Source organism: Homo sapiens, chromosome 16 (assembly GCF_000001405.40).
Source record: "Homo sapiens chromosome 16, GRCh38.p14 Primary Assembly".
NCBI lineage: Eukaryota > Metazoa > Chordata > Mammalia > Primates > Hominidae > Homo > Homo sapiens.
Window position 1 is genome coordinate 2,681,782 of NC_000016.10, and position 27,318 is coordinate 2,709,099.

General features: G+C 59.2%; 1 protein-coding gene across 1 annotated transcript, besides 9 other annotated features; it reads left to right on the top strand.

The window, feature by feature from the left end:
- KCTD5 (potassium channel tetramerization domain containing 5) lies at positions 742-27,249 on the top strand. Its single transcript, NM_018992.4, has 6 exons — positions 742-1,019; positions 14,154-14,262; positions 16,125-16,216; positions 18,040-18,135; positions 20,572-20,697; positions 25,517-27,249. Exons 1-6 carry the CDS (start codon positions 768-770, stop codon positions 25,544-25,546), a joined length of 705 nt encoding a protein of 234 aa, NP_061865.1. The 5' UTR covers positions 742-767; the 3' UTR covers positions 25,547-27,249.
- Positions 825-1,004: a silencer, noted in NCBI's record as "silent region_7065". NCBI's record gives its function as "represses an Ori minimal core promoter by ATAC-STARR-seq in GM12878 lymphoblastoid cells {active_cell/tissue: GM12878}" and the evidence as "EXISTENCE:reporter gene assay evidence [ECO:0000049][PMID:35858748]".
- Positions 1,100-1,710: an enhancer, noted in NCBI's record as "H3K27ac hESC enhancer chr16:2732882-2733492 (GRCh37/hg19 assembly coordinates)". NCBI's record gives its function as "activates a minimal SCP1, AML or CMV promoter by ChIP-STARR-seq in naive H9 embryonic stem cells {active_cell/tissue: H9 hESC(naive)}" and the evidence as "EXISTENCE:reporter gene assay evidence [ECO:0000049][PMID:30033119]".
- Positions 1,255-1,304: an enhancer, noted in NCBI's record as "active region_10276". NCBI's record gives its function as "activates an Ori minimal core promoter by ATAC-STARR-seq in GM12878 lymphoblastoid cells {active_cell/tissue: GM12878}" and the evidence as "EXISTENCE:reporter gene assay evidence [ECO:0000049][PMID:35858748]".
- Positions 1,375-1,424: an enhancer, noted in NCBI's record as "active region_10277". NCBI's record gives its function as "activates an Ori minimal core promoter by ATAC-STARR-seq in GM12878 lymphoblastoid cells {active_cell/tissue: GM12878}" and the evidence as "EXISTENCE:reporter gene assay evidence [ECO:0000049][PMID:35858748]".
- Positions 4,991-5,040: an enhancer, noted in NCBI's record as "active region_10278". NCBI's record gives its function as "activates an Ori minimal core promoter by ATAC-STARR-seq in GM12878 lymphoblastoid cells {active_cell/tissue: GM12878}" and the evidence as "EXISTENCE:reporter gene assay evidence [ECO:0000049][PMID:35858748]".
- Positions 5,401-5,690: an enhancer, noted in NCBI's record as "active region_10279". NCBI's record gives its function as "activates an Ori minimal core promoter by ATAC-STARR-seq in GM12878 lymphoblastoid cells {active_cell/tissue: GM12878}" and the evidence as "EXISTENCE:reporter gene assay evidence [ECO:0000049][PMID:35858748]".
- Positions 7,027-7,615: an enhancer, noted in NCBI's record as "H3K4me1 hESC enhancer chr16:2738809-2739397 (GRCh37/hg19 assembly coordinates)". NCBI's record gives its function as "activates a minimal SCP1, AML or CMV promoter by ChIP-STARR-seq in naive H9 embryonic stem cells {active_cell/tissue: H9 hESC(naive)}" and the evidence as "EXISTENCE:reporter gene assay evidence [ECO:0000049][PMID:30033119]".
- Positions 10,719-11,537: an enhancer, noted in NCBI's record as "H3K27ac-H3K4me1 hESC enhancer chr16:2742501-2743319 (GRCh37/hg19 assembly coordinates)". NCBI's record gives its function as "activates a minimal SCP1, AML or CMV promoter by ChIP-STARR-seq in naive H9 embryonic stem cells {active_cell/tissue: H9 hESC(naive)}" and the evidence as "EXISTENCE:reporter gene assay evidence [ECO:0000049][PMID:30033119]".
- Positions 11,538-12,355: an enhancer, noted in NCBI's record as "H3K27ac-H3K4me1 hESC enhancer chr16:2743320-2744137 (GRCh37/hg19 assembly coordinates)". NCBI's record gives its function as "activates a minimal SCP1, AML or CMV promoter by ChIP-STARR-seq in naive H9 embryonic stem cells {active_cell/tissue: H9 hESC(naive)}" and the evidence as "EXISTENCE:reporter gene assay evidence [ECO:0000049][PMID:30033119]".
- Positions 27,250-27,318: the final 69 nt, after the last annotated feature.

Sequence of the window (27,318 nt, forward strand, 5' to 3'; positions counted from 1 at the left end):
CCAGGCTGGAGTGCAGTGGCGAGATCTCAGCTCACTGCAACCTCTGCCTCCCGGGTTCACGCCATTCTCCTGCCGCAGCCTCCCGAGTAGCTTGGATTACCGGCGCCCACCACCGCGCCAGGCTAATTTTTGTATTTTCAGTGGAGACCGGGCCTCACCATGTTGGCCAGCGTGGTCTCGATCTCCTGACCGCCTGATCCTCCCGCCTCGGCCTCCCAAAGTGCTGGGATTACAGGCGTGAGCCACCAGGCCCCGCCCTTATTATATAAATTTTCTATTGGGTCAATGATTTAATCATATAATTTAATGAATCTGTTCTTTTTTTCCCCCCAAATATTTGTGCTTTAGGTGTAGTTACCAGATGATGAATTTTCCTCCTATGCTCCGTAGTCTTGTAATAAAAAGCATGTACAGTGTAGACGTTTGCTGGCATGGCTCTTCCTTTGACCAGTTCATGAACTGGAGTCAGGGTGGGGGTGAAGGCTAGGGTCGAGGTCTGGGTCAGGCGCTCGTGCACCGCTCGTGGGAGGTCGAGGCTGATGTCCGCTGCTCCCCATCAGCGTTAGTGCCCAGATCACCCCGTGCTCCGCTCCCGCCGGAAGCGGGCCCAGCCTCCTGCTTTTCGGGACCGGAACTTCCGCCTACCGCGTGACGCCGGGGCGGGCGCTCTACCAGGGCGGACCTGTGGGCGGGACAGAACTCAGAGGACGCTATTAAAAGCCGGACGCTTCCGGTGGAAGGGAGCTGTTGCGGGGCTTGCTGGGATCATGGCGGAGAATCACTGCGAGCTCCTGTCGCCGGCCCGGGGCGGCATCGGGGCGGGGCTGGGGGGCGGCCTGTGCCGCCGCTGCAGCGCTGGGCTCGGCGCCCTGGCCCAGCGCCCTGGCAGCGTGTCCAAGTGGGTCCGACTCAACGTCGGCGGCACCTACTTCCTCACCACTCGGCAGACCCTGTGCCGGGACCCGAAATCCTTCCTGTACCGCTTATGCCAGGCCGATCCCGACCTGGACTCAGACAAGGTGAGGGCCTCACGGGCCAGCCCGGAGGGTCCTGGCCTTCCCGGCCTGCGGCTCCTGCACACGCCCTGCTTCGTGCGGAGGAGACTTCAGCGGGAGCGGGCGACTCTCCTCGGGCTTCGAGCCCCGCGCTCCCTTGTCGCCAGCTCCTCCCCAGCTTGCCCCGATCCCCTACCCTGGGAGGGGAGGGTGAGGATGGCGCCCTGGCGTCCACTGCCTTTGAGGATCCTGAGTCGATTCACCTTGGGGGTGTCTCTTCCTCGCCCTCTTTGCTCTTTGGTGGAGGAGGCTTCCTAGACCCCGGACTTTGCTGTGATTCTACTTTCTTTTTCTCACTAGGTTCTTTTGCCCAGGGTGTGTGAACGCCTTCTCTTCTCTGTCCCAGGGTACTTGCTGGCTCTGGAAACAGAACCCTTGGCGTTGTTTCACATTCTGGACGTTTGAATTAACGCTGACGTGGGGGTTGATATGGGCGGCCCTTTTTTTCCCTGGTGACTTGCATTTAGAGAGTTGGCGCTCCATCCTTTCCATCCACAGCACGCAGCACCCACTCAGCACCTCTTAGAAGATGCGTCCGTAGTATATAGTATGATTTTTCGAAGGGGATTTTGCTCATATTAAGGGTTGCTTTAGGGATGTCCAGGAAGGGTCAGGTAAGGAATCTTTCAATCTGCTTTCTAATTGGCTTAGTTTTCCCACTGTCTTCGCAAAAGGACAGGAATTTCCAGGTTAGTTTGCAGCTTGTCTTTCATCAAGCGAAATGCTCATGCTGTTGGGTAGATGGTAATAGAAACCTTTTGCTACCTTTATTTATCAAGAGTTGTGGAGCCGAGGAACCGTGTCTTGGGAGTTGTGCAGGATTGAAACTCACAAAAAAGCCTGTTTGAAGAAGTTGTTACCTATATTTATTCAAGGCAGTTCACAAGCCTTATACTAACTTTGCGGGGTCTTTCAGTTGAGCTTACATGACTGCGCTTGGCTTTGTGCCTTGGCAGCCAACATTTGCCATGCAGGAGGCTTCCCAGAAAGGTTCGGATCCCTCTTCAAGTTTGAGAAGCCTGACTGAGACCATTCTCAGCATGGCATGACCGTGATCAGGAAGTGAGAATCTGGAGTTACTGCTAAGGCAGCCTTGTGGGTGGAAATGAGGGTTTGAGATGCCAACCCTCCTGTGCCTCCCCACAACTTCCAACTGTTTCCATTGCTCATTTGACCAAGCCCTCTACTCAGAGAATTGACCTCCCAGGAAATGACAGTCATCCCCAGGATAGAAATAGGCGTTTGTTAGCTGTGATTTTCCTTTTATAAGTGTGGGTGTATGTTTTACTGTTTGGTTTTTCTTTTTAAATAACAGGGCTTAGTGGTCACTCCCTTGCCTTTCTACTCAAGCATTCCTGTTTTGTATATGAAATTAGAGTTTAAATTGCTCTTGTCCATTGGGTTCTTTGAGGCAATGGTTGTCTATTCAGCACTGGAGCACTTGATTCCCAGTTGATGAACTTTAGCACAGTTAAGGTGGTTGATCCCTTTGCTTTACTGTTCCTTAAGACTTTGTTAAAAATTATGGGCCAGGCGCGGTGGCTCATGCCTGTAATCCCAACACTTTGGGAGGCCCAGGCAGGTGGATCTCGTTCAAAACCAACCGGGCCAATATGGTGATGCCCGGTCTCTACTAAAAATACAAAAAGGTGGGCGCGGTGGCTCACGTCTGTAATCCCAGCACTTTGGGAGGCCGAGGCAGGCGGATCACGAGGTCAGGAGATCGAGACCATCCTGGCTAACATGATGAAACTCTGTCTCTACTAAAAATACAAAAAATGAGCCAGGCGCGGTGGCGAGCACCTGTAGTCCCAGCTACTAGGCAGTCTGAGGCAGGAGAATGGCGTGAGCCTGGGAGGAGGAGCTTGCAGTGAGCCTAGTTAGCGCCACTGCAGTCCAGCCTGGGTGAAAGAGCAAGACTCCATCACAAAAAAAAAAAAATAAAAAAAAAATAAGCCAGGTGTGGTGGCGCGTGCCTGTAGTCCCAGCTACTCTGGAGGCTGAGGCAGAAGAATCGCTTGAACCTGGGAGGTGGAGCTTGCAGTGAGTCAAGATCACGCCACTGCACTCTAGCTTGGATGACAGAGGAAGACTCTGTCTCAAACAAACAAAAAAATGCTTTACTGTAGGAATCAATTCTTTGAGCGAGGGGTAATTAATCTTTCTGAATATATCTGTGTTATACTTGCTCTTTTCATCATCATCCATTTAACCAGGTTTGATTTCCAAATGGTAAACTCAAATTCAGAACATGAAGGTAAAGTAGCAGATACAGTCGTCTCTGTCTCATACAATAATTGGAGTAGGGGCCGGGCAAGGTGGCTCACGCCTGTAATCCCAGCACTTTGGGAGGCCGAGGCGCGTGAATCACCTGAGGTCAGGAGTTTGAGAGCAGCCTGGCCAGCATGGCAAAACCCCGTCTCTACTAAAAATACAAAAAAATTAGCTGGGCATGGTGGCGCGTGCCTGTACTCCCAGCTACTCGGGAGGCTGAGGCAGGAGAACCACTTGAACCGAGAGGCAGAGGTTACAGTGGGCTGAGGTTGCGCCACTGCACTCCAGCATGGGCGACAGATCGAGACTCTGTCTCAAAAAAAAAGAAAAAAGAAAAGGAGAAAACAATAATTGGAGTAAATAAGGTTAGTTTTAGTGACAGATAGTTTGCCAAAAGTGTAGTGCTAATTCATATTAGTCACGTTACTAAAGTGTTTTCCGGTGTTTTTCATCAAATGAGGAAATGTGTAAAATGCTTCATCTTAGTTTTGTCTCCAGTGGCTCTGATGAAAGAATGTCCCAGGAGATTCCTCCTAATTAAATGCTGACTGAGGAATCTGAGGAGGGGGGGAAGGGGTGTCAGGAGTGGGAGGCCATTAATGACACGTTGGAAGACAAACAGGATGTTGATTCACCTGTAAAGATCTCCAAGGCCTGACCTCAGAGTTGAGATTAAGGAAAGAATATTCCTCGAGTTGGACTTAAGCATGGATCTGGTGGAAGAGTCCCTGCCTGGATTATTAGACTTGTGTGGAGTGAGCACCTGGGCTTGCAGAGTGTGGGGGTCTGGAGAGGAGTTGGGTGGGGAGATTTAAGGGGGAGGAGTTCCCAAGAAACCACAGAAGCTTTGGGTGCCTGAGAGGTTGGGAGAGCACCCTGCTAAAGCATCCTATCTGGTAGGGAGGGGAGCTCTTGACAGACGGGTTGTTAGGGAGGGTGGTGAAAGCCACGCACATCAAGGGGCTGGCTTGATTGCCCTCTGGCCCCACATCTAAGCTTCTGGGCTGTGACTGCCCCCAACCAAGTCCTCAGAGCCCAGCTTGGGACCCACCACCCGCCATACTCCACGCTCCCAAGCCCTTACTCTGCTGTTCCAAGGGCCGACCTGCTGCCACAAAGTTCTCTTTCTAGACAGCCCGGTGTGAATTCTCACTTCCTCCTGGGACTTCCTCCAGCAGGACTGTGGCTGTGGTGAGCATTTCAGCATCTGCTCATCTGCTGTTCTGTCATCTTTCTCTTCCTTGGTGTCTTCGAGGGCAGGCCAGGTGGAATACGGCTTCCCAAAGACTCGATTCATTTTGGTTAGGTCTCTTGTATTGCATGGTCCCCGGCCCATAGGCATTGTTGAAAACAAAGTCGAGTTTGTTGTTTCCAGCTAAAGCAGCCCCTGCTTTAGTGTGGAGATACTTGAGGAGTTAAAAGGAAACAGGAAATACTACTGCTTTATGGTTGGAAACCACTCAGATGGAGGAGAATTTGGGGAGGCTTCGGTTCCTGCAGCTGAGGCAGCCTTGGAGAAAACTGCACGTGAACTTTTGCCCTTTGAACAGGGCCGTTGTCCCGGCTTGAGGGTTCCAGATGTGGTGGCATCAGATGGGTCTTTGAGGGGTGGGGCAGTCAGGGTGCCTCTAACAGTGTACTGGGTGTTGGCAAGACCTCGGGGGTGGAAAGTTATGGAAGGAATTGTTCAGACAGGGCCCAGTGATGGGGTGTGGGCTAGAGTACCGTCTTTGAAGCCGCTTGGCAAGAGAAGTGGGGATCACGTCTAGTGGAGATGGCAGATGATGTTCTGTGTAGCCAGCACTGGTGAGAGCTATGGTGGCCTCAGTTTGAGGCCGTTAGTGGGTGTCTGCGACGCTGATGGACTTTGTTTCACGCTTCAGTTGAGGATGTGGCTCTGAGCACGATCTTCGCTCTGACCACAAGTCATCTTCTATTCTGGACCTCTGCGATGGTCCCTGCGGTGCTGGGGGCTCCCCGCTCCTTCCCCACTGCAGCAGGTGCTGGTCCTCAGCAAACCTGTGCTCACCTCTTTATCAGGTGCCTCACCTGAAGCCCTTTAGACCTTAGGCCACGAGTCAGTTCCATAAATTCCTGAGAAAAGGACTCGACTCTGGTGATGAAATGGAACGTTTCTGATGGGTTCAGTCCTACCTAGGAAGAATGAAAGAAAACAGTTTTGAGGCTTTCTGAGAAGAGCTTGTTTCGGGGCACCTGACATGGGCCCGCGGTCTTCGGCATTCTCGCCTCCAGACTTCTGCGGGTGGCTGGGAGGAAATGCTGTCGCTGCAGGGCAGTTCCTCTTTCTGGCCCTGCAGATACAGCCTTCAGTGGCTGTCGTCCAGCAGGGCAGTGACTAGTCTTGGTTTAGAGCAGGAGTCAGAAAGCTGGTCCACCTGCCTGTTTTTGCAAGTAAAGTTTTACAGGAATGCAGAGATGCCCATTTGCTTACGGATTGTGTGTGGCCGTTTTTGCTCTGAAAGGTCACGGAGTGAGGTCTAAAGCCTCGCCAGGGCTGTGGCCGTGATGGGGGCGCCTGCTGCCTGGTCTCGCCCCGGCCCTGTCGTTAACCACCAGGCATCCCAGGGACTCCTTTTCAGACACTTGTAGGCACTTTGGTTCTTTTAGCAGCCCCCCTCCACGCCCCAGGTAAGCAGTCCCCAGGCATGGTCTTTAAAGCCTGGGGAAGAACCTGCCTGCCTGGCGCCATGGGAGGGGTCCTTGTAGCAAAGGTGCCAGCAAGCCATCTCTCTCCCAGGACATGCTTGTTCTCCCTGGGCGTCAACTCGGCAGTTCTCCATGGACTGCAGAATGTCTAGAACATTCTGGCCTGGGGTTGATGTGACAGAGCATCTTCCTTGGAGTTGGGGAGCCTGGGTTGGAATCTGCCCACCTCTGGCCTGCCTTATGACTTGGGGTGATTTCGTGCCCCTGTGAGCTGTGCTTTCTTCCTCTGTAAAGTCCTTACTTTACTGTGACGTCCTCTCCTGAAGATGACAAATGTGATGCCCCCGCCCCGTACCTGGTGCCAGGTCAGTGCAGTCAGGAGAGGTTGTGCCTGGCGGTCTTCATTTCATGTTTGTACTTGGTTTTTATTATTAAATAAATAAATAAATAAATATATATATATATATATTTATTTATTTATTTATTTATTTGAGACGGAGTCTTGCTCTGTCCCCCAGGCTGGAGTGTGGTGGGGTGATCTCGGCTCACTGCAACCTCTGCCTCCTGGGTTCAAGCATTTCTCCTGCCCCACCCTCCCAAGTAGCTGGGATTACAGGCACGAGCCACCATGTCTGGCTGATTTTTGTATAGTCAGTAGAGAAGGGGTTTTGCCATGTTGGCCAGGCTGGTCTCGAACTCCTGACCTCAGGTCATCCGCCCTCCTTGGCCTCCCAAAGTGCTGGGATTACAGGTGTGAGTGTACTTTACTTTTAGGAAGGATATGCTAAGAACGCTTTTCCCCTCCCGCAGCCACACTTAATTTCTGTTAATGTCGACCTCTGGCCACACTCAGCCCTGTCAGCCTCGGGTGATGCACCGGAGGTCCCTGAAGGCAGCATGTATGGCCAGGAGTGGCTCGCCCTGCCAGTCCCCCTGCTGCCACCCAGAGCTCTGGCTGACCCTAGCAGCACAGGCCCCCGCTGAGTGGGTCTCCACCTCTGGGGACTGGACCCTGCACTGTGGGGAGGGCAGGGCTTCCTGGGCAGCCCCCGAGTTTTCTTGCAAGAAACCTGACACCCCTGCTCCTGAGAGGGCTCCAGTTCCTGCCGAGCAGAGCAGGACTCTCTGCAGCGACCTCGGCTTGGCAAGACCCCCCGTGGTTCACCTGAAGCATGTTTCTTCCCCGAGAAGCCGCAGGACCTCTTGTGAGGGGCCAGGTCGTGAGTCCACACACGTCTGCTTCTCACTAAGCTTTGAGTCATGTGTGGGGCAGGGACCTCCCAAATTCCAGTTTCTATGCTGGGTGAGGCCGAGAAGCAATGGAAGGGAAGGGTGGTGGGGAGGCAGCAGGCCTGGCGACCAGGGCACAGGGGCCCCACCCTGCTCTCCGAATCTGGCTGCCTTGGACAAGCCTCCTTGGTCTCTGGCCTCAGTTTCCCCATTAGTAATTGGTGACATCAAAGTCCTCTTGTGGGCCAAAGATATGCCACAGCTGCATAAAACAAAACAGAAGAGAGAGTAGAGGTGAAGGTTTTGTGTGCGAAATTGAAACAGAGTCACTTGAAATGGATAATTTCAGAGTAAAAACTAAGTATTTCTAATTAGGTTGATTGCAGATGTTGGTGCACAGGAAATTCTATGCCTTCGCGTCTAGATTTCTGTGGGGCAATTTGACAGAGTTTATCTCCTGGATTGGCTCAGGGCACTGCACCCTCTTGATTTCGTTCCCCTCTGGTGGCACGTGTCTCCGAGCACCGGGAATGACTGAGAGCCGCAGGGCCGACCCTCTTTGCAGAGCTCTGGGAGCTGCGGGAGGGTTGGGCAGCAGCAGGGTTATGTTGGGTTCAGAATCTGGCGTGAGAGCCTGGCAGTCTCCACCCTCATTCCTCACTGCCGTTTTCTTTTCTTTTTTTTTTTTTGAGACAGAGGCTCACTGGATCGCCCAGGCTGGAGTGTAATGCACAATTTTGGCTCACTGCAACGGGGCTGTCAGGTTCAAGTGATTGTCCTGCCTCAGCCTCCCTAGTAGCTGGGATTAGAGGCACCCTCCACCATGCCTGGCTAATTTGTGTATTTTTAGTAGAGACAGGGTTTCACCATGTTGGTCAGGCTGGTGTTGAACTCCTCACCTCAGGTAATCCGCCTGCCTTGGCCTCCCAAAGTGCTGGGATCACAGGCGTAAGCCACTGTGCCCAGCCCTTCACTGCCATTTTCAAGGCTGCTGGTTGCATTAGGGACCTGTCCCTGAGAGGCTGGGGAACCCCCACGTTGCCCCCGGTGCTTTGCTGGGTGACAGCATGGATGGCGGAGAGCTGCAGCCGGAGTCTGGTGAGATGAGCAGAGCGGCCAGTCTTGTTACCACACTTCTCTGAGTGTTGCTCTCCTGACCAGACGTCCATCTGCGGCTGCCCTGTGGACCTGGGGAGTGGGCGAGCAGTCAGCTCTGTCTGCGGAGTCTTCCTCCGTCTGCCAGGGCTGTGTGTGCCCTGGCTCGGCGCTGTCTGCCATGTGCTCCCGTGGCCAGGGTCGCCCTCTCCTCTGTGGTTTGGCAACTGTCCTGCCCGGCCTACGTCCTGTGGCTCCGGCTGAAGCCTGGGACCTCTGGAGATGGGTGGCTCAGCCCAGCCTGCTGGGCCCACTCAATGCCAGCTTGGGCCCGGCCACAAGTAGGTCAGATGCCAATTCAGTGAGACGCGGGGAAGATGAGGGAAATGACTTGTCAATAAAACAGTCTTAATTATGGCTGTTTTAGAAAAAAACCACCACGAACCTTCCTGAGATCAAGCGCAGCCTGTGCTGGTTGTGTAAGCCGTGGAACGTATGAGAAAGCCAGGAAGAAGAGCACCCCCACGCCCAGCCCGCAGCATCTCACTGGCTTCCTGGCCGCCTCTCCTCATCCCAGTCGTAGAGGCGTGAGCGGGCCGGGGCATCTTTCCTTCCTCGTGTCATGGGGGCTTGGGCAGGCGCCGCTGATGGCCTTACGGGCAGCACAGGGGCCCTGCCTAGGTTGGCCCAGACGCTGTTCTAAACCTCCCCGAGGTGACCTTGCTGCCTTTGTCTCCATGAGCCTCGGAGTATATCCTGAATTTTGTATGATTTTGTGTTTCCCATTTTCCCATGTTCCATATTTTTTTGTTGTTTCTGCATCAGGGTGGAGGCTGATCCACATCCCCAACACCAGCAGTGAGCTGCCGAGGCCCTCGCGCCTGGGCTGGGCACTGTCTGGGCCTGGGCTGGCACCACGAGTAGCCCCCGCACACATTAGGCCGATCTGGAACATGTGGGCTCACCCGAGCTGGGAGCACCAAGACCCTGCCTACATGCTTGGAAGCGAGTCAGGCCACAGCGAGACCCGAACCCTGGTGGGATTTGGGGGTCCTGGTTTAAGACCCTGGCACTTCCTATGGATGTGGAAATCTCTCATTGAAAGCTTCAAAGAGAGCAGTGGTGAGAGCAGCACCTCCACACGCCACTGCCTCCCCGCCCTGGTGCGGATGTCCCTGACCTTCCGCTCTGCCCAGACAGGGCCTGTTTCTCGAGGAAACCCACCAGTTAGAAGGAACCCATGGGAAGAAACGGCCGGAGAGCTGTGAGGCCAGCCACAGAAGAGCCAGTTTTGGAATTTCCCACCAAGGGTTCAGCCTACTGCTCGCCCTTCAGCCTCTGGTGCCCGGCGGCTCAGCTGGGTTCTAGGGCCACGCAGGGCTCTGCAGTGTCACTCCGGGAGAGGGCTGTGGGGGCAGCTGCAGGCCCGGCGCGCCGAGTCCACGCAGCCTGGGTAGGTCCTGCATGGGCCCAGAGGTCGTGGGGCTCAGAGAATTGAACCACGTGGGAGGAGTGTACTGTGGCGGGGGCCCCATAGGAAGCCCACTGTCCTGGAGGCACTGGGGCGGCGGGGGTGTGGAGCGGCTGGCAGGTTCTTGGTAGACGCAGCTGGGGTTCTCTGCTCCTCTGCCCTGCAGCCTTGGCTCCCAGCGAGGTTGGCAACAAGCATCTGGACTCCTGGAAGTCTTCCAGAGGCTGCTCCTTTCAAGTCTCTTCCTAACTGGATGCACGTGGGGTCCCCCGCGGTGCCTCAGCCTCCCCTGCCTTTGATGGCTGGGTATTTTGCACCCAGGCTGCTGGCCCCTGAGCACAGGGATGGGCTGGAGCCACAGGCTGCAGGGAAAGCGCATCAGGAAGGTTCCTGGGGCGTGCGGTTCCCACACAGGTGCGTCCGGGGGCTTCCTGGTCCCTCTGTCAGGAGCCTGAGCTCCAGGGACTGAGACGAGCTGGGCAGAGCCTAGCCACTGTGGCCAGAGCTCTCACTGCCAGCAGGATCTCTCTTCAGGCACCCTGGAAAGGTGCCATGGCTCCGGCTGGTAAACTTGGCCTTGCAAAGCTCCACGTCCCTGTGTCTGGATGTGCCCAGCCCTGCTGATACGGTGTCTTTAGGGTGTCGCTTTTCTGGCCAGAAACGTCTCTGGCCGGCAGCACCTTTGTCCAAGTTCCTGTTCTGCGTCCAGGAAGAATGAGGTAGCAGACAAGTGGAGGGTGAGCATGACGAAGAGAAGCTTTACCAAGTGTTGGGACAGTGCAGAGGAGACTGTGGGGGCAGCTCCTCTCTGTAGGCAGGTCGGCTCATTCAGTTGGCAGCTCTCAGCAGAGAAGCGGCCCCGGACTGGCTGGCTCCTCTCCATTGACTTCCCAGCTCTCAGCAGAGAGGGTAGCTTCCCTCTGCAGCTGGTCTTCCACTTGCCAATTGTCTCTGTCCTCTTTGTCCTCTGCCCTGCTCTGGCTGAGCCCAGGGCTCTTATGGACCCAGAGGGAAGGAAGTGCATACTAATTGGTTCATGGGCAGGCCCGGAAAACGCACCACAAGTCCCCACTTTGGTCCCCGGGACTGGCAGCCCGGCCCCAGCCTTCATGCCCTCCCTGGCCTGAAGGTGGGGCCTTACCGGGGACCTACCCCCTTCTTCCCAGGAATCTATCTGCCTCCTGCTGCCATACATGGCGCCTGGGCTCGGCCCCAACTTTGCTCCAAGATCGGAGCAGGCACCAACAATAGGAGTAAGCCAGGCAGTGAGAGCAGGCACTTCTGAGCCTGCAAGGGCCCGGCAGAGGGGCCTTTCTGGGCCCCCAAGAGTGCAGGGATGCCTGAGGCTGTGGTTTGGGCAGCTGCAGTTGTGGGCCTGCCTGCTCCGTGGAGCGGGAAGCCCGGGTCTGCAGCCATAGTTTGGGTGGGGCGAACCCCAGGGCTGCAGCCCCAGGCAGCCCCACGCAGATCCTCCTCCCGAGGCCCGGGAACCTGACATCTTCAGTGGGGTGGGTGTGATGGCTGTGCCACTGGCTGGGTCCTCACCGCTGGTGCCACTCTCACTACCCACCCCAGGCCCCCGAAGCACAGCCCCAGCTCTGCATCGGGGCCCCTCTCCACCCAACCATGCTGCTCTCCTGCCATGCTGAGGGCAGTGGGCTATGGTGTGGGGAGTGGGGTCTGTTCGCCTCCTCCCTGTTCCCTCCCTGCAGCGGCAGGTATCACGTGATGGCAGCAGCTGCACCAGTTGGCCTGCTGCTGGCATCACCGCACTGGGCCAGCTGTGGCCAGACTGAGGTCAGGAGTTCCTTCAAAGCATCAGCCACAAAAGCTGCCTCCTAAAGGGGGTGTTTAATGGAAAAGCCAGCCCCGCCCAGTGGTAGGAGTGGCCAAGACACGGCAGCGGCCTACCCCTGCCTGCCCGTCTTGAGGCCGAGCCCAGTGCCAGCACGCTCAGTGCCCTGCCGGCTCCTTGGACCTGTCTGTGTTCCTCTGTCCTGCTGTGCAGTTTCCGCCGATGGCCGTCCCCACCCTGCCCTCCTTCCCTCCTGCCTTCATCCTTCCAGTTGCAGGGCTGGGGTTGCCTCGTGTGTCTGGGGGCGCCCAGCACGCTTCCTTCTCCTCTTGCACCGGCCCAGGGCCTGAGAAGCACATGGTGGGTTGTCTTGGCCTAGAGGTCACGGCTCAGTGCCCAGGTCCTGCCACAGGTTGGGTGCCCTGGCACTCATGGCGGCCCCGAGCTACACGAGCTGGTCTCCCCCACCTTTTGCTCGTAAAGAAACTGAGGCTTGGGGTGGCCTGGCTGTGAGCCTGCAGTCTGACCACTGAGGCCAGGCCTGGAGGCCTCCATGGCTGACAAAGGGGTTCTCTGGGGTTGTCCTGGGCAGAGGCGAGCCTCCGCCCTATCTGATCTTTCCTGACCTCCTGCCAGCGGTCTGTCGAGGTAGCAGTGAGCCGTGAATAATTCCTGAGCTGAGCGGTGTGCGGACGTCACGCGGCCAGCATTCTCTCTGTATGGGGGTGGGGCAGGGAGGAACCCTGGACTCGGGTGGCAGCACTGGCCGCCTTGCCAGACTTGGGCCCCTTTGTGGGAAATGGTGTCCATTTTTTAGCAGTTGCGCAGGACCGCCCAGCGTCCTCTTCCCGGGAGCTGGCCCTGTGGCCCCGGCCCTTGCTTGAGAGCTGTGGAGTCTGGAGGGCTGGGGAAAGGCAGGGCCAAGCCCAGGAGGCAGGGCCTGTGGGGTGGGCAGCTCTGGCTGGAGTGTTCCGGGGGAGGGTGGGGAAGGAGGATAGGGTCAGGTCTGTGTGGAGCTGGGGTCACCCTAAGGAGTAGGGGGGCCGCCGAGGCTCCGGGTCCAGCGCCCCCATGCCCGGAGCCCTAATTGATTTTATCTCAGCCACAAAACTCAGTCCCTGTGATCTAAAAAGAGCAGGTTGTTGCAGGTTTGCGGTGGTGGACTTTGGGAAAATCTCTTGAGACCACTAGGTCTTAGCACCCAAATGGCAGAATTTGTCCATGGATGAAAATAGGGTCCTAGCGTGGCCCCGTGCTTTGTGGTGGAGACACCTTCGGCCTCCCCATATCTGCGAGCCTGGCATTCCCGTGGCCAGCGCCTGCCCATGGCCCCACAGGAGCCACCATCTGGTGAGGGGGCTGCTCCTGCTCCGAATGGGGTGTGGGGTTGCTTCTCCAGCGCTTGGCCCTGGGCCTCGCCGGGGAGGCTGCCGGTGTTTCTGAACGGAGGCCTCAGCTCCCCGGCCTCCAGGGCACCCGCAGGCACCAGCCCCTGTGGGAGTGGCTCGCAGGTGGGAGCAGGACCCTTGCAGGCATGTGGGGGGAGGCAGGAGCTGCCCCAGCAGAGCCACACGGAAGGTCTGAGTCTGTGTAGAAGACAGGCTGTGCCAGCTTCGCAGTCCCCCCATCAGATGTGTAGCCGACAAGACAGAAACTGCCTCTTCCGTCTCCCCCATGGGGGCTGCCTGGGGCGTCTGAGCCCCCGTCCTGTGTTCACGGCCGGGCCACTGGGGCTCTTGTGCTTTGTGGAAGGGGCTGCAAGGTGTGATGTGTGGGGCACCCCGGGCCTCAGAGGGCATCTGCCCACATTGAAGTGGCCGTGGTAGCAGCAGGGGCAGTGCCTCTCAGGGGTCCCTCCACCCAGGTGCGTGAGGACACCTTCCGAGGGGTCTGTTTTGTAAACATCTCGGCCTCCGTGAGCGCTGAGCCGGGGCGAGGGCTCTGTGAGGTGAGTGATGATCTTGGGGAAAGCCCCGGATGCTGTTGAGTGCCGGTCACTGTGGCCTCCCTCGCTGCTGGCTCCCGGCCTGTTGGGCAGCCGCCCCTGCTGAAAGGTGCCCTCTCCACCCCTGGCAGGAAGCCCCTGTCACCCTGACCCCCGGTTCCTGCATGTAGGCTGCGGAGGACCCGGGCACGAGGAGCGCAGGCCCAGGCTGGTGGCCATCAGAGGTGTCCTTCTGAGGCTGAGCCCTAGGCCCCTGCCCTGCCCGCGAGGGCATCTCTGGGTGAGGTTTTCGTGTGTGTTTTCCTAGAGGTCTTGCAGTTGTGAGGACAGAGGTCCAGGGCACAGTGGGCTCACCTTGGAGTACGCAGAGCCAGGCTGCCTCCGTACGGAGAGACTTAAACTCACTTAGACCTGGGGTGGTGGCTGGTCAGGGTTAGGCTGTAGGCGGCAGGACGTGGCCACACCGTCAGGGGTTTCCTGAGATGCCGCAGGCTCAGGTGTGCTGGGGAGAGGCCTGGGTAACCTGGTGCCTCTGAAGCCTCCTGAGGTGGCCGGGCCTTGGTGGACCTGCAGGAACCTTCGGCTTCTCACGGAGGACTCACCGTGCTCTGCTCTCTTTAGGATGAAACAGGCGCCTATTTAATCGACAGAGACCCCACCTACTTTGGGCCTGTGCTGAACTACCTGAGACACGGCAAGCTGGTGATTAACAAAGACCTCGCGGAGGAAGGTAAGCCGAGTTTTGGGCACAGGTGCCTTAGCTTTGGGGGCAAGGGCCCGACAAAGGTGCCAAGGGCTCCACTTAAGACACAGATGCCTGCAGCCTGGGGCCCCAGGGAGGAGCAGGCCCTGTACTCTGAAGCTGGGGCCGACGTTCTGGTGCTGAGGCCACGGGCAGCGGCGCAGCTGCCGGACAGGGAGGCCTGGGGACCCTGTGGGTGTGGGGTCCTCCCTGGCTGCAGCTCCTTGGAGGGCTCCCTCTGTCCAGGCTCCGGCTGGCGACACAAGGGGTGTGAGGGGTTCCTCCCTGCTGTGACTGAGGTGGTCTGAGCGGGTGTGTGAGGCACATGCCCGGTGATGCCCACGGCGTGCTTCAGGGCCTGGTTCCCTGGCCTGCTCTCCCTCAAGGACAGCCCAAGGGTGGTGAATGTCTCTGTGCCATCACCTGGACTGTGCCTGCTGCTGCCAGCTGCCGTGTTCCATTCTGAGTGATCGTGGTGCAGGGACGGCGCCCACACGCGTTGGGCCCAGGCTGGCCTGCCTGTGTGCTGCGGTGCTGGCTTGGCTCAGAACAGCTCGAGGCCTCGCCGTGAAGGCTGAGGGTTTCTGGGCACCTGCGTGCGGGCGTGGCCCTGCTCCCCCGGGTCCGTGTCTGCGCATCGGTCTGCACTGGGCAGCGTCTGACTCCGTTTCTGTTCTGGGCCTCTGGGCCTCGGCATCTGCCTGCCTCCTCCGAGTTCACGCGGGGCGTGGAGTGACGGGGGCTGTGGCCCAGCCCTGCCCCTGCTCTGAGGCTGTGAGCCATGATCCCCACTCCTGTCTCTTTGGCAGGGAATGTCTTTCACATGTACTCTCTCTGGTCGCTTGGGCAGCCGCTTGTGTTGTCGTGGAGCCGCTCGAGTCGAGGCTTCGCTTTATCTCATTCTGCCCCTAGTGGGATTGGCTCAGAAACGGGCGCTAGACACAGACCAAGGCCCTGCCGCCCAGGCTCACCGGTCTGCCTCTATCCCGCCCCGATGCAGCCACTCACGCCCTGGGTGCTAGAGAAGGGGGCTGTGCGGGACCCATGCGGGGCCGGGAAGCCTGTGTCTCTGAGGCCCTCGTCTCCTTGTCTCTATCCTGCGTGGCCCTGTCCCATGTAGGTGGCTGGGTGTTGTCCTGAGCTGCCATGTGCCATATGTGGGTTCCTCTGGGGTCCTGGAGGAATGAAGACCACCCATGAGGAAGCCCTGAGGCAGGACCTGTGGAATCTGCTCTTAAGGCTCTTAAGGGAGGTTTGCAGTCCCTAAGTGCGGCACATTACGGATGGCAGTCTTTGGGAAGAGCTGGAAGTGACCCTCTCAGCCAGCCACAGTCTTCCCTTTGAATGGGGTCAACTGAGGTGCCAGGTGACTGAGACATATGCACAAGGCCGCAGGCCTGAGCCCCACACAGCACCCCACCCAGTGGCGTGGCCATGAGCAGGTTCCCAGCAGGAAGCGTCGGCCTCCAGGCTTGGAGGGAAAATGCCAGATCCAACCCCCAGCATACCATGGCCTCGGCGTAGACATACGCTGAGCTGCATGTAAGCAGCGGCTCCATACCTGGCGGGTCACTGGAGGTCACTCAAGGTTACCTGGGGTGACCTGAGCTGGAGGTGTTCAGTCCACACATCGGCCCTCTCACCACGGCCCCTCCGCCCATTATCCCAGGAGCCCTGCTGGGCTGACACGTCTGCAGGAAGCCTGTTAGGTCGGGGCCTGAGCAGCTCCCGCTGGGCCGAGCCATGGGCCCTCATTGCAGGGGCAGGGGCAAGGGCAGGGGTGGGTGTAAAGCGTGGATTCTTTGGTTTAGTTTGGTCTGGTAAAGACAATTTATTTTTCCTTATTCCAGGAGTGTTGGAGGAAGCAGAATTTTACAATATCACCTCATTAATAAAACTTGTAAAGGACAAAATTAGAGAACGAGACAGCAAAACATCGCAGGTGAGACAAATGACTGAGGCTGGAAGCTTGTATGGCTGGTGTGAAGGAAGGGCTCCCCTTTACTCCCCCGACCGGCTGCCTCCCAAATAAGTCCTGCGGTCTGGGGCTCTCCTACCCTGAGACCCTTGTCCTCTGTCACTGCCCCAGTGCCTGCCAGCTCCGTCTACCCGGCTCTCCCCAGGGTCCCTTGAAGGATCCATTCATCCTGCCCGGCCCAGACTCTGGGAGCCCCCAAAGGATGGCTCTGAGGAAGTTGGGCACGGGAGACGTGTGTAGGGAAGGAGGGCCCCATGAGGGCCGGTCGGGGAGACCCTGAGGTGGATGGCATCTGGTAGGGAGCAGAGGGTGCCAAGGGCCTGCAGCCAGCATGGCTGGAGGGAGACAGCAGATGGGTCGTGTGGGTCTGCGCAGGCGCCAGAAGGACCTTGGTTTTATTGGGAAGAGGGGCGGCTCGCCACAGACACACCTCTCACAGCTGGCACGGCCCTTCTGCAGCCAGGGGAGCCCAGGTTGTTGGTGGGCTCTGCCCAGTACCTCCTGTGGAGGGGCCACTGCTGGGCCTTGGGCATCAGTCCCGTCCCTGAGAGCTGAGCCCGCCCCCCCCACCCAAGCTCAGCTCCCTTGAGAAGGCACCAGGAGTGGGGTGTGTGCCGCACTGTGGCCGCGGCTGCCATCAGAAGTCTCGGTCCACGTAGAGCCCTGGGCCCTGTGCAGACGCTCCTAGCCTGGCCGCTCAGGGCCGCTGGCCACCTAGCGACTTGCCCAGTTCCCCCTCCTGCTGGAGCTCCCTTGGTGCCACTGAGGGATCTGGAGGGGCTCCTTGTCTGTGGGGCAGGAGCTGCGTCCCGCGCCCCGGGTCACCTTGTCCAGTCTGCTTTTTTCCCTGTTGTGTGACCGGGCTGTGTGGGCACTCCCTGCCTCAGTCTACCTACCTGTATGACGCAGGTGGGCAGGAAATGGTGCAGGTGGGAGAGTCTGCGGTCCAGCCTTGCTGTGACACAGTAGCATCTCACTGTCTTGCAGAATAAAGCAACTCGGGCATGTGACCTCGAGGCCACTGTGTGCCTTTGTCACTCAGGCATCCCTGGCATGAGTCACCACCTTAAGGTCAGGGACCCAGGACCTCTGAACCCCTTCTCACTGCTGCGTTTCCGTCCAGCCCCGTCTGCAGCCTGAGTCCTCCGTAGTGACTGTCCAGGATGTGGGGCCACCCCGCCCACTGGGGAGCAGCTCCATGCAGGCGGGCGGCCCTGGTGGCTCACCATCACTCCCAGGACCACAGCTGCCTGGAGGGGCACAGCAAGCGTGCCAGGCAGGTGGGGGATTAGGAGGTGGATGGAGTTTTAGGAAGCAGCTCAGCCTTCGGGAGGCCCAAGTCCAGGCTGCCGCGCAAGTTCAAGAGCCTTTTTCTGGTAGCTGGGAGCGAGCTTCGTCTGGCACTGGCTCTCAGGGCCCTGCTTGCCAGAGCCTTTCCCGACCGATGAATTCAGGGCTGCACGGTTGCTGCGTGCGGAGCAGACGTGGACGCTCTCGTGTCGTCATGTCGAGCCACAGGTGCTCTTGGGATTTCAGGAACATGACTCATTTTATTTTGGAACTTAGAAATAGAAATATTTTTGGAGGCGAACGAGGAAGCAGAAAACAGCAGCTGTTCGGGCCGCGTGTTTTGCTTTTGTGGATGTGCTCAGGATTGCTTTGGGCCTCGTGCCCTGTGCTGAGAACTGCAGAGTGGACCTCAGCCTCCCTGGGTCACCTGGGCTGGGGCCACAGGCAGCAGTGGGACATGGGTGGCCCGCCCTTACCTGTGCCCATTGTCCTTGCAGGTGCCTGTGAAGCATGTGTACCGTGTGCTGCAGTGCCAGGAGGAGGAGCTCACGCAGATGGTGTCCACCATGTCCGACGGCTGGAAGTTCGAGCAGGTGAGGGGCCCTGGCCAGCCTGGTGGCAGCCATGCTGCAGCTGAACTTGTGCTCACAATGGCTCAGGGCTCAGTGCTCCTGGAAATGCAGACTTTGCTGCTGGCGTCTTCCTGCAGTTCTGGGGGTGCTCACGGCAGCGACCTGTGCCCTGTTTCCACTGGAGGAGCCTTGGGAGTTCGGGTGGGGTGGGCAGAGGTGTCTCAGGCTCTGCCCCGCACCTTCCCCTCCTCCCTGGCCTGCCTCTTCTTCCCAGCGCTGCGCTTTCTTCGCATCATCTGGCACCTCTGTGTGAGGGAGGGGACTGGCGTCCCCAGAGCCTCCTGGCCAGCCCACTATCCAGCGCAATCCCCGTCCCCCACAGCTCACTCCATCGGAGCATATGGAGGCCCTGACGCCTTTCCCAGGCTGCCTCCCCTTCCCGCCCATGCTGGAAGGTGCTGCCAGGCCCTCGTTGCCTTCTCTCTGGTTTTGGCAAGCTGCGGCGGGTGGGGTCTGATGGGTCTGTGCAGGGCATGCCTTCTTCAGCAGCTTCCACGGAAGCCACCTGAGTGCTGCATGGGCCACTGTGCCATGGCATTGTGGCTTGTCATCGGGGACCTCAGGACACGTGAGGCATGGCCTCTGACCGGGGGGCCCTTGCCCACGACCTGGCTGCCACTGTTCCTGGTGCTAGACAGACACTGAGGGTGGGGACAGTGACCTCACCCAGCCCTCCCTGTCCTGAGTTTCCTCTGTCACTTGCTTCTGTCTGGGGCAGGTTCTGTCCATGGCCCAGTGCGCCTGCCAGGTTGTGGGAGTGACAGGCTCAGCCAGTGTCCCTCTGAATGAAAGCTACCTTTTCCTTGGAGTCTTTCAAAATAATAGATCACATTGTAGGGTACTTGGAGCCCCCCCCCCCTTAAAATGTCACTAAAAACATTTGTGTCCCACCGTCCACCCTGGACCCCTAGGCCGGGGGCCGGGGTGACTCTGGGTCTCTGTGCTGACAGGGCTGCTGACCAGCTGCTTGGTCCCTGCCCTGCACCTCATCAGAATCGTGCCAGAGCCTCCCACGGGAACAGAAATCTTTGCTGCTGGGCGAGCCCCACCTCCCAGTTGTCCCTTGGTGGGGCTGGGGCCCTGGGAAGCCGTGTCAGCAGCTCGGGGTCCGCGAACAGGGCTGTCCCCATGTGGCACCTGTGCTCTTCTGCCACCGTCTTGTGACTTCTGGCTGGGAGGGAACAATGTCTCCTGCCCGTGGTGGGCACCTGCCTCCCGGGGCAGCTTCAGGTCTTCGACCTTAGCACTTCTGGGTGGATTCCAAACCCATTGCAAAGAACGGGTGTCCTCCCCCTTCCTTGATTACGACCTGCTTGGCACGCTTCATCCCTTGGGGACCCCTTCTCCCAGTTCATGTAGGGAAGCCGCTGGGCTGACCAGCTGTCCCGGCTGTGGGGTGGGACCCTGCGGGGTGCTGGGAGGTGGCCAGACCGGACCCAGGGTCCCCAGTGGTCAGCAGGGGATTGCAAGCAGGGCTTGGAAGTGGCTGTGAGGACACAGGGGCTCCGGGGGGCATGGCCGTGAGTGCTCCCAGGGGTACCCTTAGCTGCTTGGGCCCATGCCGGCACCCCTGTGGCCGCCTCACTGGGCTGGGTCCACTGCTGCCCACTGGGTCAGCCGCCAGCTATACAGGAGCAGCAGGTAGCTGCGGGCTGCTCTCCCGGCCGTTGGTCCAACTGCGCAGGTCTTAGAGAGGCCAAAGTGTGAGCCTCGTCCAGCTGCTTTTTGGCTTGGTCATCTGCTGCTGTCATGCTTATTGTGATTTGCGTATTGCCTTTTAATTTTCCCTTTAAAAGCACAGAAGTGCCTGGTGGCCCAGGGTAGCCAGCCATGGGCCAGATGCCTGGCCAGAGAGACAGGTTGGCCCTGGACCTGCATTGGCCTGGCCTGCCTGGTGACCCGGAGGGAGGCAGGTTGGAGTGGCCTAAGGGTGTGGCCAGCAGGCTGCAGCAGACCCGCCCTGGCCGAACTCCTGGACAGCACAGCTCCTCCAGCGGCTTTCGGTCCAGTCAGCTGGTCCCAGGCTCTTCCCTCCAGGTTTTCAGAGCCGCCCTCCACTCTCCTCCCGCTGCCCCCCTCCCTCCGCCCCAGCTCAGGGACCCGTCTGTGCTCCGTCCCCCTGGGGCAGCAGCCCCTTTTGGCCCAGCTGGAAGCGCCAAGGAAAGCTCAGGGTCCTCACAGAGGAAGAGCTCGCCCCATGCCATGCCACGGCGTGGGGTGCCGCCCCGTGTGCTCGTGCAGGTGTTCCGGGGATTTGTTTTCCATCCATTTCCTGAAGCGTCGGCAGTCTTTGCTGTGGCTTTCGCGGTGGCAGGCGCGTCCTGAGGCTGGTCATGTCAGCCTGGCTGGGTCTCTCAGGCTTCACTGGGCTGCGTCTCAGGCTATGTCTCCTTGCAGTTGGTCAGCATCGGCTCCTCTTACAACTATGGGAACGAAGACCAAGCCGAGTTCCTCTGTGTGGTGTCCAAGGAGCTGCACAACACCCCGTACGGTACGGCCAGCGAGCCCAGCGAGAAGGCCAAGGTGAGTGCTGGGCCGGCCCTGGCCTGGGGCAGTCTTGGGTGGGGAAGGCTCTTGCCCTCTCAGACCTTCCTCCTTTTCTGCCATTCTCATCAAGCTCCCGGTGTCCGCCCCTGGTGGCCTTGCTGACTTCTTGGACACACGGTCTCCCGTGGGACAGGTTCTCTCGACACAGGCTCCCAGTAAGCCCCTGCGGCCTCCCAGCCTGCATGCAGAGCTGCTCCTGGAAGGGGCCCCAGGCCTGCTGCAGGGGCCATGCTCTTAGGAATGCCACTGAGGGCTGTGTCTCAGGGGACCCAGGGTCCTCTGTTCCCCGGGCCCAGCCTCTGCTGTGTGAGTGAGGACTTGGGATGCTGAGGCCTGGCTGTCATAGGGGTCTGGGCCATCCCTGAGTGCAGGGACATGGGGGTCCAGTTGTCGTGGTGGGGGTCTGGGCCATCCCTGAGTGCAGGGGTGGGTACCCTGGCTCAGCCACTACGTGGGCCTCATCTTTGTCGAGAGGAGGGTGTCCTGCAGGCCCTGGGATTCTCAGGCTGCACAGAGTAGGCCCTTTGCGGCACCCAGCCTGGCAGCACCGGCGCAGACTCTGCGGGGGCTCAGGCCCTTCTGTTTTCTGCGGGGCAGGCAGCTGGGGTGAAATGCAGGGACCCCTGCCTCGTTTGCTTTCAGGTTGGCCCTGTGGCCCTGCCCACAGGTGACCCATTCTGGTGGCATTTCCTCTAAGCACGTTCTTAAGGTTGAGGCTCCAAGATGGACAAATGCGTCCATCCAAGCAGAATCTGACCTTGGCCTGGGCCAGCTGCACCTGGCAGGACTCCCGGACCTCAGAGCCAGGTGGTGGCTGGAGAGCTCTTGGCTGGGGTCTGCGTGGGTCTGGGAGAGCCTGGGTGGTGGGGCGGGCTCTGTGGGGAGCCAGCCTGGGGCGAAGGCTCGGGGCATTGGCAAAGGGTGTTGAGTGGGTGCCATGAGAGGCCAGAACCGGAAGGCTTTTAACTGGTGGCATTAAACCAGGGACACCTGGGCAACCGCAGACTCTTGGCTGGGGGCCTCTGGCCGGCCACCAGCAGCCCAGGACTGTCCCCGTGAGCCTCTCCGAGTAGGCCTTTGGAGGTATGCCCTTGGGAACAGAGGGGTGGGGCCGCCAAGCATGTCTCTCGGAGGCCTGCGGCCAGCTCACGGCAGCCTTTCCACCTCAGGCGACTGTCCTGGCCCAGAGCCTCCCTCGCTGGCCACCCGTTGTGCTCTTGCTGTGGGCAGAGGCCAGTCCTGCTCCACTGCCGTTCCTCGAGGCCGAGGCAGTGTAGGCTGGGGCAGGCCCTGGTGTGGGACAGCCGGGGTGGAAGCTGGGGTTCCACCGCCAGGCTCGGAGATGCTCTTCCATTTGAGTCTCGGATCTAGGAGGCGACCCCTGGCTCCCTGAGAGCCCCAGCTCAGTCACAAGGAGGCACTTCTCTTCCTCTTGGAGCAATCGTAGGGCTCTTTTCTAAATGGTTTTATTTTTAGAAGTTTTTTATTTCTGAGCTGAGTTTTTATAACCAAGCTCCCCTGGGCTCCTATCCCTCAGGTGGCTTGGCAGCTGCAGAAAGGACACGCTCTGTACTGTGAGGAAGCTCCAGGCATGACCCCAAATCCCTTTGTGGTTGAGAATGTGGCCCTATTTCATTTTCCAAAAATACCTGCTCTGAAGTGGGGCAGCTATGGCGGCTTCTTGATGGGGGTGGTGTCAGCAGTGCCCCAGGAGGCAGAGCTCAGGCCAGAGCCTCAGGAGGCCGTGGGGGATTGCGGGGGCCAGAGCTGGAGGACCGTGATGGGGGCACCCCTGGCTGGGCTGCGCAGGGCCGCATGGGCTGTGGGCCCTCGTCGCTGGTGTCCCTGCAGCATGTGTGGCCTGGCCCTGCTGGGCAGCTGTCCCCCACTTCAGTCAGCGGCGGCGGGAGAGCCTGGGTGGTGGGGCGGGAGGGGTTGCACCTGTAGCAAGTGAAGGCGGTCCACACATGAGCACACCTGCTTCCCACGCCAGTCCCTCAAGAACTTGCTAGAAGGACTCGCAGAGCTCACTGAGAGCGCTTAGACTCAAGGCCGCCATTTATTCCCAAGGAACAGAGAGAGACAGGCTCAGATCAGCAAGGGCGGGCACCTGGGCAGAGGCCGGGGTCTCCCAGTGCCTGGGCGGCTGAGGAGGGGGTTCCTTGGTGGTGTTGGGGCTCCATTGCGTAGCCATGCTCGATGGGTGCATCCACCGCCTGCCCCCGTGGCTGATCCCTCCTGTGACCCAGGGCCCCACCCTCCCTCCTGCAGCAGTGGGGCCAATGCAGTGGGGTCCACAGAGCCCACGCAGCAGAGGCCCTCCTATCAGGCCGAGATCTGTGGGCTAGCGCCGCCTGCCAGGAGTGGGGCCAGAGGCCAGGCGCCTCTGGACAGGGTTCAGCCCCTCAGCACATGGTGGGACAGGACCAGCCCCGGATCGCAAGATGCAGCCGCCTCACACGTGGAGGTTTCCACCTCTGAGATGTGGCAGAGCCCCTGAGCCTGTGTGTCCCCTCGTGGCGTGGCCTCACTGGAAGGTCACCGGGCGTGGGGGTTTGGGCCCGGGGCACCCGCCCACCCGCACTGTCCTGACAGCCTGTCTTCTCCCCCACTGCGCGCTGCACGCCGCCAGAGTGACGACGAGGACCAGGGGCACCCAGGGAGTGGCTCAGATTAAGTGTGAATGTCATGGTGAGCTCCGTGGCCTCCTTGACCCCATGGCCCCAGCTGACCCTTGCCACAGACCCTCCCTGTGTGTCTGTCCCTGCCTGTAGTTGACGAGAGCCGTCCGCACTCCATGCCAGCTGTAGATCCTCAGTAGCACTGTCTTGGTGGTGGGGCTGTTGCTGTGAGGCAGATGCCCAGGGGCAGTGTTGGGGCGTTTGTTGGGATGACTGGAGGGTGCCCGTGCCAGGCCAGGCTGTGGACATCAGTGGTCGTGAACCCAAGAGCCCCTCCTGGGGGCTGGGCAGGGAGTGCCACTCGTGCCGCCAGCCCTAGTGGGTGACCTTCCTGTCTGGCTTAGGCCACAGGCTCAGGGCCAAGGGGTCAGGACCAGTGCGGCAGACAGCAGACCCCTATCTCAGCTGCCAAATCCTGCGGCATCCCTGATGCGCTTAAGCCTCCCAGGCCAGCCGTGTCCTGCAAGCCCCTCAGCCACCCGGGCCTGCCTGCCTGTGGGGGTGTCTGGCCATGGGGTACAGCCTCAAGGGCCCCCTGGTTGGTGTCTGCAGTTGGACCTTCCTGTGGAAGATGGCCTAGGGAGACAGTGTGTCCAGAAAAGATGGGTCTCACCCCAGGCTCTGTCTAGAGTAGCCCGTGCTGCTCCCGGCCTTGGGAGGGCGAAGGACAGCACTTTGGCTGCAGGTCTCCAGGGTGTCTCCTGCCCTCATCAGGAGGGAGCTGTTGGGGCTCCCGGATGCTCAGATGCCACACTGCTCCTGGCCTGTCCGCTGCGCTACTTAGTTTTACACAGGGCTGGTGGGGGCTTGGGGGCTGCACTGTCTCCCCAAGTCAACTCCAGACATCCCAGTAAACTTGGGAATCACCCTGGCCCAGGGAGGGACGTGCTGCCCCTCGCACAGGGGGATGGGCTCCTCCGAGGCACTGGAGAGTGAGTGGGAGCCTCGAGCTAGAAGTGGTCCAGGGCACTGAGCCTGGGGGGCACCCGCCTGGGAACGGCAGAGCTGTTGGGGGGTGGAGTATTGGAGTCAGGCTGAGCAGCTCAGGGGACGTGGCCTCCAGGAGCCTTCGGAACAAGCCTGGGGTGGCATGCACCTCTCACCACTGCCCTCTCTCCGGTCAGTGCGGCATGGCAGTGACCTCTGGGAGGCTGTGCCCGGCGAGGGCGTGGGCGTTGCTGCCCTACCTGGTGTTGGGCAGCCCTCACGTGACACATGGAGACAGCTGTTGTGGGCCACGCACAGTGAGGCTGGCTGGCTCCGAAGCTCTCTGCTCGGGAGCGTGGGGTGATTTCCCCTCCACCTGGTCTCTGGAGCTGCCATGGCTCATTTTGGGAGTTCACCTCAGCAGCATTGGCCAGCGCCTGAGCCTGTCCTCAGGGGAGCCCAGGCCGACTTGGGGGTGGCCTCAGGGGGTTCCTGGACACTGGTGAGGGAAGTGGGGAGGGTACCTTGAGGAAGAGTTTTGAGGAGATTGGAGGGTGGGGAGGGCAGGGGGCCGAGGGGCCGTGGGCTCTGCAGGGCTGACGTGGTACAGATGAGGAGGGGATCCCCGCAGCGTGATCTGCACTTGGGGTAGGGCCCTCTGAGGGCTGGTGGTTGTTCCATGGGGCAGTCGGGAGGGGCCAGCACATGAGGTGGGCTGGCCAGGCTGAGGTGCAGGGCCGAGGGCTTGGGTGAGGGGCATCTCCAGGAGGGTCCGGGCGTCGGGGTGGGGGTGGGGGCTGCAGTGGGCATGGAGGAACAGAGGGAGAGACTTAATTGGGGAGGGGGGACTGGACTGCTGAGGGACCCGCGGGCCGAGTTGCGCTTCATGTCTGAGGCCCAGGACTGAGTGGGCTGAGAGGCCCAAGAGTCAGCGCCTTTGGGTGGGTCTGGGAGGGGCTGCCATGCACAGTGAGCGCTCCCTGTGTGGGGCCTGGAGATGTGCCAGACACCCCGGTGAAGGTCCTGGGCCTGCCAGCTGAGTCCCCAAGACCCTGGCCAGTGCCGCTGGGTTCCCGGGGCTCCCCGAGCTAACCCCAGGCCTGTGGGCTCTGTTTTCTGGAGCAGGCGCCTGGTCAGGGACACCTCCTCAGCCCAAGTCCTCATTTTATGCATTTGGTGTTTTTCAGATTTTGCAAGAACGAGGCTCAAGGATGTGAGGGACACAGTATTGACAGCTGAAGAAATGATTTACGTTTTCCCGAGATGTAATGAACTGCCATGTCCAGGAAGCTTGGCTGTGAGAAGAAACCTGCTTTTGATCATTTTTCTAGAGATCTGGGTGTGAATCCTTTTTTGCCTCTGAGGTGGGTGGTGAGAGACGGGCCCAGCTGTCCAAGGCCAGACGTCCCCAAGTTGGGGGAGCACGGCGGCCGGGTGGGCGCTGCCTCTTGGGGGGGCCTCGCTCTGTTTTTTCCAAGTGCCACGTGGGACTGAGGCAGACACTCCCAGTCAGCCCGCTCGATCCTGAAGATCGTGTGAAGGAAGCGTTCTTGGTGCTACACACAGTCTGGAAAAGCAGCCTGGGCTTCACTGGCAGGAAGCGGCCGCAGCCGCGTCAGTGTCCAGCACGTCGTGGCCTCTGGTCCGACCACCAGGCCCTAGTCTCGGTCAGGGAGTCTGCTCTGCCTCCCAGGCGGGATCGCTGGTTTCTCTCGACCTCGCAGAGCTCCTGACAAAGGCGGCTTCTGCGTCGTCACTGCTTCCCGGCGCCATTCCGAGGCCGGGCCTTCTTCTGACACGGGCTCCAACCCCACCTGACCAAGCCCGGGACAGTCAAGGCTTCTCAATTTGTATTTTCCAGGCAAGAGAACTTTGTACCCCTTCTCTGTGTGGATAGACTCCCCAGCGTTTTTCCTCTGGAAATGCCCACAGGGCTTGCCGCGTGGAGACTGATCTGTTCCATCCGTTAGCGCGAGGTAGCAGTGTCGCCTCGCCCCTCCCACTGCGGGCTCACGGGGAGCTGGCGTCTGTCAGTGCCTTGTCACGCCTGGCATAGAGGTTGGGCTGGAGGCCTGTCCACTGGCTTCTGGAGCTGAAGGTCTGCGTCACGGTGAAAATTCGGGATGTTTACAGAGCATCACAAATGCCTCTCTCTCGCCGCTCTCTCATTTTCTTTGTATAACTATGCAGCCTTCCCTCTCTTTCTGGGATGTTTGGGACTTCACTCGACCTGCACGGGCTCTGCCCGACATGCCGTGGGAGCTGCTGGGATTCCTTTAGAAACCGCTGCCCGCATGCTTTGAAAACAGACCTTTCTCAGCTGGCTGTGGGGACCTGTCAGAGTCTGGGGACTCGGCGTGCAGGGCGGGCTCCAAGCGCTTTGCTTCCGGAACTCCGGCTTCCCAAGGGGTACTGTGCAGACTGACCACCGGCCTCCCGCCTGCAGGTCAGAGGCTCTGACACTGTCTGGTTTCCAATGCTTCTGGAGACTTCCTGCCTAGGCCTCATCCTCCTCTTTGCCAGTCACCTGATTAACCAATTCTCCAGCATTAGGACTTACCTCCTTCTTTTTGTAAGGTCTCTTGTATGTTGTTAAATGTTTGGCTTAAACAATTTATAAAAGCCTTTCTAGAAGGCAGACTTAGCCCCAGCAGAGCCTGGGAGGAAGGCGGCCGCTGGGGCTCCTGGGCATCCTCTCTGGGGAGCTGCTGGCCGCTTAGCGTTGTTTGATTTTTGACCTTGACATAGTAGATAGGCTTGTGGTTTTTTTAATTTAAAGATATTAAGACTTAATTCACTAAAATTTATTCTAAGGGGATATTTATACTTTTATACTTTTTTAGGTATCGTATTTTATCAGCTTACAGTTTAATGCCTAAGTTTCCCCTGGAAATAGCAAATAAAATTGTGTATTTATGAATGCGCGTAGTAGCTGTTTATGGTCTTAAGATGCAGGGGAATGCCACCCCGGGTCGCTCGGACCAAGGTG